The sequence below is a fragment of the Homo sapiens genome, chromosome 15 (assembly GCF_000001405.40).
Source record: "Homo sapiens chromosome 15, GRCh38.p14 Primary Assembly".
Classification (NCBI taxonomy): Eukaryota; Metazoa; Chordata; class Mammalia; order Primates; family Hominidae; genus Homo; species Homo sapiens.
In genome coordinates, this window is record NC_000015.10 from 83502019 (window position 1) to 83515073 (window position 13055).

The 13055-nt window shown below is 41.6% G+C and overlaps 1 protein-coding gene across 24 annotated transcripts in view; it reads left to right on the plus strand.

The window, feature by feature from the left end:
* The window catches only part of SH3GL3 (SH3 domain containing GRB2 like 3, endophilin A3), a 186480-nt gene that overhangs the window by 54678 nt on the left and 118747 nt on the right, over positions 1-13055 (plus strand). For 4 of the 24 annotated variants that reach the window (NR_136712.2, NM_001324184.2, NM_001324186.2 and 1 more), the window contains one exon: positions 9726-10056. The exons of the other annotated variants lie outside the window; for them this stretch is intronic. The gene's annotated coding sequence lies outside the window, so the exon portion shown is untranslated. Of the gene's footprint in view, positions 1-9725; positions 10057-13055 lie in introns of those variants that run through there. 24 annotated transcript variants of the gene reach the window in all.

A 13055-nucleotide genomic window follows, 5' to 3' on the forward strand; every position in this document is an offset into this window, starting at 1 on the left:
CATTCAGACAGGTATAACCAAGACTAAGCTTCACTCTAGGAATAATATAAAGTTTTAATCAGAAGAATAGTTTCAAGTTCTTAGAAGAAGTGGTGTGTCTTTAGATCAAGTGACAACTATGTGTCTAAATTATAGCCTTTACCCAAGGGTCTACAGACTTTTTAGGAATGACCTTCACCTGGGTGGGATGCATTCCCCTCATCAGTGTGTGGAAATGGACAGCGGATCAGCATCCCAGAGCCTAAGGGTTTGCCGAGTTGGTGATCACCATCAGCAGCACCTTCCTTGGGTGCCCCAGGGCAAGTGAGTAACCACTGCCATGTTTGGTGTAATGGTGAGTGGAGGTATCCCACCCACAGTAGGAGACAGGAGAGGCCGAGGCCTCCACACCCACGTGTGCATACTTCCTGGATTCAGCATGTGTCTCCCAAATTACCCAGGAATAGGATGTAATGCCTTGTATCTGTGACTTTTGGAGGTACCTTATATATGCCTGTGTGAATGAATAAATGGATGGATATGAATAAATGAATGGGCCTGGGGTTTTTGTTTTGTATTGAGGCAAAGTCTCAGTCTATCACCTGGGTTGGAGTGCAGTGTGCCATCATGGCTCACTGTAGCCTCGACCTTCTGGGGCTCAAGGGATCCTCCTCCCTCAGCCTCCTGAGTAGCTAGGAGTACAGGCATGCTCCACCTTGCCTGGCTAATTAAAAAATACATATATTTTGTTGAGGGGGTTTCACTATGTTGCCCAGGCTGGGGGCTCAAGGTTTTCTCATGGGTTTATTTGCTAATTGTGTTTCTCCTGTTATGACTTGTTCACACCCTTGGCCTAGCCATCCTTTGGAGTATTAGTTTTTTTCTTATGAATTTGGATGAGCTCCCAATATATATACCAGAGGCTTATGTGACCAGAGGCTTGAAAGAACCTAACTTCTATTTCCTTTAGGAGCAATGGTTCAGTATTCATTAATTGAGTGTTTGTAGTGGCTTTTAATAGAACATAATTACTTTTAATAATGAAAGTCCACTGTATTTATTTCACACCTCTTGATTTTTCTGTTCATTATTTTGGATTGTTTTTAAATAAATCATGTATTTCATACATCACTTATGTTCATTGATGAAACATTATAAAATACAAAAAAAGAAAAAAACATTATAAAATACAAAAAACCACCAGCAAAACTGTTATCCACATCTCATTACCCTATATTGTTACTCTTAATATTGGATATATACCCAATATTATTACATTTACATATGTTCATAAAAATGCAAAAATGAAATGTACTGGCTTCTAACCTGCTTTTCTCACTTAATATATTGTGATGATTTTTCTATGAGAATATGGATCCACATCATAATTTTTAGAAGTTGTATAATATGGAAAAACTACAATTTATTTAAAGTTTTCTAATTGTTAGATATTTAAGTTGTTACCAGTTTTCACTAATAACAATAAGTGAAATTTATTGAGTGTTTGCTGTCTCAGATTATGAGTTTAAGATGTTTATATGCATTATTTCACCTAAGCCTCAACAACCTTACGGGGTAGGTATTTTGTTCTCCCCCAGTTTTACAGATGAGGGAACTGAGGCACAAAATAATATACCTAAAGTGAAAAATAAGTATTGCAGCTGGGATTCCAGTCCTGGAAACTTGATTTCACATTTGTGTTCCCAACTAGAACAATGTATAATTAGTGATTCTGTGCTACTGTCTTTGGCAATTTCCTAGGGAAAAAAAGTAATCCTGAAATAAAGTTGCTGAGTCAGCACTGGATATTTTAAGGACTTTTGTTATGCATCGCCAAGTTATGTTCCAGATAATTTCTCCCTCAAATAGTGTAAGAAAAGGCGCATTTCCCCATGTCTTTATTAACACTAGGCTGAATATAGTATTTTAAAATCACTATTTTAATTGTCATTTCTTTAATTGTGAGATGAAATGTTACATTCTTATCCACCTTTTAATTCTTTTATGAATCACTGTTTATTTCCATTGTGGTGTTTGTCTTTTACTGGTTTCTAAGAACTCTTTATACATTTTACATATGATTGTCGAATTGCTGCAAATAATTTTCCTGTTAGTCATTTGAAATTTAAATAGGTTTTTCTTTTTACGTTTTTATTGTGGAATCTGACATACCTTGGAACAGTGCATAGAATATAAATGTACAGCTTATCAAATGATTATGAAGTTAACAACTGTACAACCACCAGTTGAAGCAATGGAATCTTGCCAGTTTCCCAGAAGTTCCCTGTGTGTTCCTTCCTGATACAATCTATGCCCAACTTTCTAGAAGAAGCCACAATTGTGGTAGCCAGCTTCACAGATGGCCCCCAGTGATTCTCTCCTTCTGGTCTTCATACCCACCCAGGATTGTTCCAAGGTGGGCCAGTGCGACCAATAGAATATACAGAAACAGTGCGATGTTGTATTCCAGATTGGGTTATAAAAGACTGTGGCTCCCATCTTGGGCTTGCTCACTCTCTCATGGATGAATCACTCTGGGGGAAGCCAGTTGCCATGTCTTGACGACACTCAGGCAGCCCTGTGGAGAGGCCCCGGTATCCAGGAACTGAGGCCCTCCTTCCAAAAGCCCTTAGAGAACTGAGGCCTGCCAACAACCATGTGGGTGAGCTGGGAGGCAGATCCTCTGCCTTTCAGATGACTGCAGCCCTGGCCCACAGCTTAACTGCAGGCTCATGAGAAATCCTGGGCCAGAATCACCCACCTAAGCTGCTCCTGGATTCCTGACTCTCAGAAACTGCGTGAGATAACAGCCATGTGAGCTGTTTTAAGCTGCTGAGTTTGGGGGTAATTTTTTAGCAGAGTAATAGACAACTAACATAACTATTCTGACTTTTATAATAATAATTTCCTTCTTTATCATTACAATTTTACCACCAATATGTATGCATCTCTAAACAAGATAGTTTAGGTTTGCATATTTTTACCTATTTTATACATGTATTTTAAAATTGGGTCTTATCTCGATATTAGGCATATCCCTATAGTTGCATATAGCCAGCGCTCATTTTATTTGCAATCTAGAGATTCATTGTATGAATACACCACTTACATACGTATCTGTTCTCCTGTTCGTGGTCATCGGTGTTGTCCTGGGTTTGAGACTATTATGAAAACTGCTGCAGTGAATATTATGGGCATGTTTCCTGGTGCACATTCCACAGGCTTCTCTAAGTTGACCTTGTAGTGCACTCGCTGGCTAAAGGACATCGGCATCTTCACTTTTTCTTTAACATTACTAGATAATGGCCAAACCTCATCAAATAATGCCAGATTATACTCCAATCTGCAGGACGTGAAAGTTCCCATTATTTTACATCCTTGCCAATCCGTGGTATTATTGGTCTTTCTGATTTTTGCCCATCTGGTGAGTATGTAAGTGATATCTCATTGGGATTTTAATTTTGCATTCCCTGGGAGTCAAGAGGTTGTGCACTCTTTCATTTATTGATTGACTACTTGAATTTCCTTTTTTTTTTTTTTTTTTTTGAGAGATGGAGTCTCACTCTCTCATCCAGGCTGGGGTGCAGTGATGCGATCTCGGCTCACTGCAACCTCTACCTCCTAAGTTCAAGCGATTCTCCGCCTCAGCTTCCCAAGTAGCTGAGATTACAGGTGTGTGCCACCACACTCAGCTAATTTTTGTATTTTTTAGTGGAGACATGGTTTCACTAAATGTTGGCGAGGCTGGTCACGAACTCCTGACCTCAGGTGATCTGCCTGCCTTGGCCTCCTGAAGTGCTGGGATTACAGGCATGAGCCACTGCGTCCGGCCTGAATTTCCTTTTTAGTGACATGCTTGTTCAAGTATTTTATCCATTTTTAAGAAATTAGTTGTCTTTATTTATTTGTAGCAGTTCTTTACATATTCTGGACACTAGCCCTTTGTTGTTATATGCTATACAAATATCTTCTCTTACTCTGTAGTTTATCTTTTCACTCTCTAAAGCCTAATGATGTCTTTTGATAAAAGAAATTATTTTACTGTAATAGGGTTTATTAATCTTTTCCCATATTTGTTTTTTAACATGTAGGTTTTTTTCGTAGTTGATTTTATTAGTCTTTGCCATTATAGTTCCTGACTTTTGAAATCCTGTTTAGAAAGGCATCCCTACTCTGAGATTACACAAATATTCACCTACATGTGGTGGTTTTATTTTTATGTTTTCATTTAAAAATATTTAAACCATTCATCTGAAATTTTTTTAAAGCTTTGGTTATAACATTTTTTTTCCCTGAATGTGATGAATACGGTTAGCAAATTTACAGAATAATCTGACCTCTTCCTACTGTAAATGCTACCCGTATTATGAAGTGGGATCCTATATATTGGCTGTATTTCTGAGCTTTCTCTTTTGTTAATTGCTCATTCTGTTGATTCTGGCACTTTCTGACACCTACTTGTAGTTGTTGTGCTCTGCGGGACACATCTGATAGGGCCTGCTCCTGCACGTTACTCTTGTTTTTCGGCATTGTCCTGACATTTTTTACATTTTTGTTTTCTAGATGAGCTTTAGGATCCCTTTAATATTAACATAATTATTTTTGGCTGTGTTGTAGATTTGTCTGTGACTTGTTAGAAATTAGTGTTCCCACTTAGGAATGTGGCATGTCTTGCCATTTACTTTTGAATCTTTTTATGTCCCTCAGAAAAATTTTGTAGGTTTCATTTCAATAGAGGTCTGGCAAATTCTTATTCTAAGTTTTTAAAATTTTTTGTTTCTGGTGTGAATTGGCCCTTTTCTCCTATGCGTTTTCTGATGCATAGGTTTTCAAACCTCCACTCCTTCAGCGATAAAGGCTCCCAAGGAGTGGCTGAAGGCTGGGGAGCATCGCAGCTCTGCCCCATCTGTTTACCGTAACAGGTTTTGTTTATAGAAATCATTCTCTTTTGCTAAAAAAAAAAAAAATTTCCTGATTGGTTGTTACTGAGGTTTGAAACCCTGTTTTTGTGTACGCTTTTTTTTTTGAGACGGAGTCTTGCTCTGTCACCCAGGCTGGAGTGCAGTGGCACGATCTCCGCTCACTGCAAGCTCTGCCTCCCGGGTTCATGCCATTCTCCTGCCTCAGCCTCCCAAGTAGCTGGGACTACAGGCGCCCACCACCATGCCTGGCTAATTTTTTTGTATTTTTTTAGTAGAGACAGGGTTTCACCGTGTTAACCAGGATGGTCTCGATCTCCTGACCTTGTGATCCGCCCACCTCGACCTCCCAAAGTGTTGGGATTACAGGCGTGAGCCACCGTGCCCGGCCTGTGTACACTTCTTTTTAATGAATGATCTTTACTGATATCTTTTGTTGGTTTTAATTACTTTTTTAGTGATTCATCTTGGATCTTCCAGGTATTCATTCCTTTATTATTATTATTATTTTTTTTTTGAGAGAGAGTCTCGCTCTGTCGCCCAGGCTAGAGTGAAGTGGCATGATCTCAGCTCACTGCAACCCTGCCTCCTGGGTTCAAGTGATTCTCCTGCCTCTGCCTCCCGAGTAGCTGGGATTACAGGTGCATGTCACCACGCCTGGCTAATTTTTGTAGTTTTAGTAGAGATGGGGTTTCACCATGTTGGCCAGGCTGGTCTTGAACTCCTGACCTCAGGTGATCTGCCTGCCCTGGCTTCCAAAAGTGCTGGGATTACAGGAGTGAGCCACCGCGCCTGGCCTCATTCATTTATTTATTGAAAAAATATTTATTCAGTGCCCACCCACTGTGTACCAGACACATTTCTAGGTGCTTGGAATATATCTATGAGCAAAATCCATGTATATCATATGGTAAGCTCAAAATGAGTATATTATACGGTAACTACTTTGGAGAAAAAGAAAATGGATCAAGGGTTCTAGAGGTGGGATATGGGATCCAGGCAGAATTTTATTTTATTTTACTTTATTTTATTTATTGATTGATTGAGACGGAGTCTTGCTCTGTCACCAGGCTGGAGTGCAGTGGTGCGATCTTGGCTCACTGCAACCTCCACCTCCCGGGTTCAAGGGATTCTCCTGCCTCAGCCTCCGGAGTAGCTGGGACTACAGGTGCGCACCACCACGCCCAGCTAATTTTTGTATTTTTAGTAGAGACGGGGTTTCACCATGTTGGCTAGGATGGTCTCGATCTCCTGACCTCGTGATCTGCTTGCCTCAGCCTCCCAAAGTGCTGGGATTACAGGCTTGAGCCACCGTGCCCAGCCCAGGCACAATTTTAAATACCGTGGTCACCATAGGTCTCATTGAGAGGGGGACATTTAAACGAAGACTTGGAGGTAAGGACGCCGGCTATGTAGATATCTGCTGGAAAAGCATGCTTGGCAGAGGGGAAAGCCTGTGCAAAGGCCTTAGAAACACGCTGGAGGTGTTCGAGGATCATGGAGGGGTGTGGCTGGAGTGCAGTGAGTGAGGGAGTCAAGGTTGGTTAGGGAGGGATAGAGTAGGGGACAGATGTTTGTATGGGGCCTTAGTGTAAAGACTGACACTGAGTGAAGAGAGGAGCCATTGCAGAGTTCTGGAATATTGTAGGGACAAGATGGGCTTACTTTTTTTTTTCTTTTGAGATGGAGTCTCGCTCTGTTGCCAGGCTGGAGTGCAGTGGCACGATCTCAGCTCACTGCAACCTCTGCCTTCTGGGTTCAAGCGATTCTCGTGCCTCAGCCTCCCAAGTAGCTGGGATTACAGGCAGGTGCCACCACACCCACTTAATATTTGTATTTTTAGTAGAGATGGGGTTTCACCATCTGGTTGGCCACCATCATGTTGGCCAGGATGGTCTTGATCTCCTGACCTCGTGATCCGCTTGCTTCAGCCTCCCAAAGGGCTCGGATTACAGGCGTGAGCCACTGCTGGGCTTACATTTTTAAAAGATCATTCTGGTTGCTCCTTTGAGAATAGATTTTAGAGGGGCCGGGGTAGAAGCAGGGAGACTGATTAGAGGCGATTGTAACGCTCCTCACCTAGGATCTTACTGTGCATTGAGCAATTGGTAAGGCTTATGGAATGAATGTTTTTACCTACATCGGGCATTTTAGCGTGCATTAAGAAACTACACATTTAAAAAATACATATTTTTCTTGAGAAAGTGATGGGACAGAAAAGTGAGAGCAGGGGAATTGCCTTTGGAACAGGCCATTTTGGTCAAGCCTTGTCCTGGATAAAGAAGATGGGGAATGAAGGCTGACCTGCCGTGGAGGGGAGGAATGGGCAGGCATGCCCTGCCTCATCTCACGGAGTGAGGGCAGAATCTGGGGAGCGCGTTCTTGGATGTCCCACCAACTTTGGAGAGGACCGGAGGCTGGGGATAGACAAGGACTACTATGATGAAGGAAGCTCGTAAGTTCGTGTTTGCTTCTAAATGGTTGCTGTGGCTTTCTGGCTTTAAACTGGTTTATATTTTCTGCAACCTCACTTCTTCCTAACTATTTAGTAGACCAGAACTTCTCGGTAATTTATTGCTCAATAGTGGGAGAAAGGAAGAACTTCGTTTTCAGGTTAAGACTTCATATGTCAAATCCAGTTTTATTGGTGTGATAAATGCTGGTTTCTGTTAAATTTACCAGGTTGGTCAGTACTGGTTCCTGATACAAGAACTGTATTTACCCTTTTAAGAAGATGATTTAAACTTCTGGAGAAAGGAAGAGGGCAAAGATCTTTAAAGAGTATGCTATTTTTATGACGCCTCCCTAATTATTCAGAAATATGAATAATTCAGGAATTTAACTGTAGAATAAGTATAAATTACCCGGTTACTGCCTTGAAAGAGTTTACAATCACCTTGAAGAGAATCCTGCCCTCACCCCCACCAGTTTCACAAAGCCTATTTTAAATTATACCCTTGGAAAAATTAAACCAAAACACTGCGCAAATATGTTTGGTGTGGAGTTCATTTCTTTGATTTAGTCCTTTCACTTTGGGCCCACACACTTTTGCCATCCTTTAGGGAGCATGCCCAGTGCTAGATTCGAAGCGAATATATTAATGTATGTGTTCACCCATCAATGCCTTGTGCTGAGGGAAAAACAGAAGAGAGTGTCATGGAAGGCTTAAGGATTCTTTTTTTTTTTTGCTGATACAAAGTACTTTTTGTTATTCAATGCTTGTGCCATCATCAGACAACTTCATCCAGAATGCACAGCAACTCTGTAATATAGCTCTGCCTGGTGCAAAATACCTCATTTTGTATAGAAATGCAGGATTGCTTCATGTAGATACAATAGAAAGAATCTTTGCTTTATTCATGTATGAATAAAACGTCTTTGTTCATGGAAGAGAAAAGTGCCTCTTATTGTTTGGAAGCTGTGTGAATTTTAAATTAAGCTGATGGCCCACTATATTACATATTTCGGGGGAAAAATTAGCTTTGCTTATATAAGTTTGGAATCTAATGTCTAACCTAGTGGCCTAAATAATTTTTGCTTTGCAGTTTGTTTATTATGTAAAGACATTGTGTTTGCCACAGACATTGCCTGTCAATGAATTGCTTTAGCAAAATTCTATAGTCCTAATTTTAAAAAGTTGTTATTTATTCCCTTGTCCCACATAAGATTTGAAGCAGCTTGCAAAAAATTAAAAATACAATGTAAATAACAGTCATAAATCATGATCAGAGAAAATATAAATATTTTATGGAAAAGTCAAAGCTTGTAGAGGCATGTGTGAGTGTATTTATGTGTCAATATACATGTAAAAGGGTCCATGAAGCAGCTATGTGGATCCTCAGATTTGATGTTGAGCTTCCTGGCAGCCAAAGTGGAAAAAGGAAGGCAATCAGTTAATCCTTTCTCTGGGTTTGCAAAGGACTGCTTAGAGCATATCCACCGCCAAGCAGGGGTATGGCATTCGGGCTTTCCCAAAAGAAAGCTGGCCACTCAGATGTTCTCACTCATAGGTGGGAATTGAACAATGAGAACACTTGGACACAGGGTGGGGAACATCACACACCAGGGTCTGTTGTGGGGTGGGGAGAGGGGGGCGGGATAGCATTAGGAGATATACCTAATGTAAATGACAAGTTAATGGTTGCAGCACACCAACATGGCACATGTATACATATGTAACAAAGCTGCACGTTGTGCACATGTACCCTAGAACTTAAAGTATAATAATAATAAAAAAAAGAAAGTTGGCCAATCGGAAGAACGGATTAAATAAAGGAATGCTGTAGGTCCTGGGACCCCCATGATGGTGCCTTAGGCTTTTCCCTTTGCAGAAAGTACCACCTCTGGCAAGTGACCTGCAGGACTACAGGCAGAAGTAGGGCTGGCAGAGTGCCTGGTGTGCAGTCACAGAACCCTCCAGCTCCAGATGTAAACTTTTGGCTTTCTTCAAAGTGTTCGCTGGTTCTTAACAAAATGAGAAAAAATAAGAACAAATAAGGAAAAAAAGTAAATTTCCTTCAAATCTGAATTTACGTGACGTCAGATATTATGTTCTTCCTATAATTTTAGTATTAAAAGTTCCTTTTTAAAATGAAAACAGCAGCAATAGTTCAAAAGGTTGTGTCCTTTCCTGGGGAAATGAAAAAAGTTGAAAACACTTTGTATACGGTAATAATAATAATCACTATTACTACTACTACGGGTATTTACTGCTTATGAAATCTAAAAGTCTAGAAACTCCTATTTCTCTTGGGCTCTACAGCATCTCAGTCAGCTGCTTTGTCTCCAGGATCACATTTCCAATTTTCTCTCTTTTCTCTCTCCCAGTGTACCGCGCACCTGCTGGTTCCCTCACCCAGTACATCTTGGCTCCCAGGAAGCCACACCCTTGACATTTACCATGCTTCCTGGGCATTTCCTGCTACCATCCCCACCCTGGACAGGGCTAGGATGGTATCAGGACTTAGTGCTGCACAAGCTTTCAGGATACCGGGTAAGAGGGGAGTTTGACACTTGGAACAATACTGGACCTAAAAGGAGCCAGGCCTTGGATGGACAGTCACTCTCCATGAGTTTTTGCACCATGTCAGCACTATAAACTCACTGCAGTGGGAGTTTCGCATTGACAAGGGTCTTCAGACCTAGCTCACCTCAGAAGGTAAGGGGGGCCTTGACAGGTCCTCTCAAGGGGGATAAATGCCACCTGCTATTTAAGGAGACTTGACCCCATCCCTGCTTCTATCCATTAATGGGTGACTTTTTAATTCTTCTGGAACTCTTATTGCCAAGGTCTTGGTGGGACTGAGGGTGAGATCGCTTTTCTGTAACACAGATGCATTGCCATTTTGCTCCTTGATAGTGTAAGATGTTTAAGTCAATTAAGACAAAAATGTGCTTAATACTCTTTTCATTTGCCTTAACAACTCCACGTTTATTTAATATCAGTTTAATTCTTGGCTGCTGCAAGGTCTGGGTAGTTTTCATTTCGAAACTACTCCTAGGGTGAGAAGTCTCTTAAGTGCCTGTGGTATTCCCAAAGAATTTGCTTTTGTGCGGCAGTCACAGCCTGGAAGCGCGCTGCTTTCTTTGCTCCTGGTGTCAGAAAAGCTACTCCTGGTTCTCAGATTGGGCTTTCCTGCACATTAGAATTGGAAAGGTCCTCTTTGTGTCTGCCCCTGTAAGGGAGCCAAACAAAAGGCGCCAGAGTGGTGGTAGGGCAGCATCATCGCTCCCTAACCTCCACCCTCCTCCTTCTCTCTTCCTTCCTCCCCGTCCCTGCCTCCCTGGCCTCCCTACTCCTCCATCCCCTCCAAGACTCTCAATGTAGTCAGCGCTCTGTTTTCCCCACCTTTGCCTGGCTGCCACCTCCCTCCCTCCCTCTCCCTATCAGCTTCCTCCGGATGAGGTGCTATTCTGCATGGACCCCTTAGAGTACTCATTAACTAGATGAATAAGCTGCCAGCAATATTGTTCCTGCTTCCCACATTTTAAAAAGGTTATCTCTTTCTTTTTCCTTCTAAACTTTAGAGCCATTTGAAAATAATCTTTTGGAAATATATTTACATAGGTCTCATGACAAATCCACATACTCCTTTTCAGACAGGTTTCAACGACTGCATAATGAGATGGTCTGGGTCAGCTTTGCACAAAAGTTGTACTTTTCCTGCTGTGAATCTGTATTTTTCCGCTGTGTGTATTTGCAATGACTTTCCCGCCCTACCTTCCACTAGTGATGCATTAATCACAGCATGGAGCTGAGAGGCGTGGGATTGGAAGGGTCTTTGAGAAGTTTTTTAATCGAGCTAGAACGAGGTCAAGGTTTTGAGCATTTAACTTGTGGGATGTTAATTACTTGGCTATGAAAAGGAAATTTGTTTTCTGAAAGTTCAACTGTAGCTACAGAATAAAGGCCATGGAAAGATAAGGCATGGTGTCAAGAGGTTTCATGATCTTATTCCACCTCCTTTTCAGGCCCCAACTCCACTCAAACCCTCCACTGTTGAGCCACACTGGATGTGTCACCCTCTGTCCCTAGACGTGCTGGACATCTGCATCCTGTGGTGCCTCGGCTCAGGCTTCTCTTTCATCTGGGAAAACCCTTGACCCTCTCCTAGACTTCCCAAATGCTGCTTCAAGGCATCATCCCTGCCCTCCTTCCTTTAGAAAGTCTTTTCTACCACTGAGAACACTTCCCTCATGCTCCACCGCAGACTGTACTTCATGCTGCTTTGCTCTTTGTGGTTGATGCATCTGTCTCTCCCACTAAATCATGACCCTCCATTCATTTCTACTTCCCACTCTACCCAGGGCATGGTAGGTGCTCAATAAATCTTTGCTGAATGGAATTTTTTCATCTAACCCAAGAGCAACCTGAGCAGAAAATCATAAATGAATAAGGATCGTAAATGGATGATCATCATAAATGACTAATCATCATAAATGAATGCTTATGGGATATACACAAATTGCAGAACACTGATAGCTATGGCATAGCTCTTATCCTAGAGTGAGTTTCAATTCACTTTAGGTTAGGACATAGAAAAGACAAGGAGAAACAACTAGTCCATGAGGATTTTTTCCATGCTTTGTTCTTTCCATCTGTGCTGTTCAGTAGCTAGTTTCACTGAGCTTCCCTGTAGTGGATGGGTAGAGATTGTGTATTATAAGTACTTGCTCATCAGTGGCTCAAGGGCAAAAATCTCAGTGCCTAGAGTTTGGCATAATATTATGTGAAAAATAATTTTTTGCAATATAATGAGATGTGACACTCCCCACTTTCCAGAACAAGGACTTGTCTCCTTTGGATTTCCAGACCTAAAGAAGAACATCTCCCTTGAAAAACTTTTCCCACTGGCAATTCAGCCCTCTGTTTTCCAAACCCACTTAGAAGCTAAGTTGCACTGGAAATACACAATGAAATGTTTATGGGAAAAAGGGGCATCATATCCACAATTTGTTCTCAAAATGATTTAGTGGAGGGAGAGAGAGAGAGAGGGTGGAAAGGGTGGGTTGGAGGGAGCAAAAGAGAGACAGAGAAAATTGATAAAATAAATGAGATAAAATTGAGGGAATCTGGCGAAGTCTATTGGAGCATTCTTTGTAGCATTGGGGAATTCTTTGTCATATGCTTGCAACTTCTCTGTAAACCAGACATTATTTCAAAATAAGTTTTTTTGAAAAGCAAAAGCAAATTCTTTGAATTCTTACCCAGTTTAAAAGGATGATATGATTGCAAAAAAGTTGTGTTTCTCTATCTATAGGCATAAATGGTAGTGCTTGGCAGTTTAGGATCCATTCACACAGAAACTGCATTTGAGGCAGGTGTTTGTGAGCACCTTTTGACCCCTTGACATTTAAGCAAAGGAGAAGTGGGTTCCTCTTATTCGCAGCTGTCATAGGTCAGACTTCTGCTTGTTGGGCGTGTCAGGCTGGGAAATTCCCCTCACCGCCAAGATGTCCATGTCCTAATCCCTAGGACCTGTGAGTGATAACTTATATGAGAAGGCAATGCGAGGATGGAAGCAAGAGATTGGAGTGATGTGAAGGAGAGATCAGGGTCCAAGGAATGCACATGACCTCTAGAAGCTAGAAAAGGCAAGGACACGGATCCTCTCTCCTAGAGCCTCCAGAAGGAACCAACCCTGCCAGCCCCTTGAT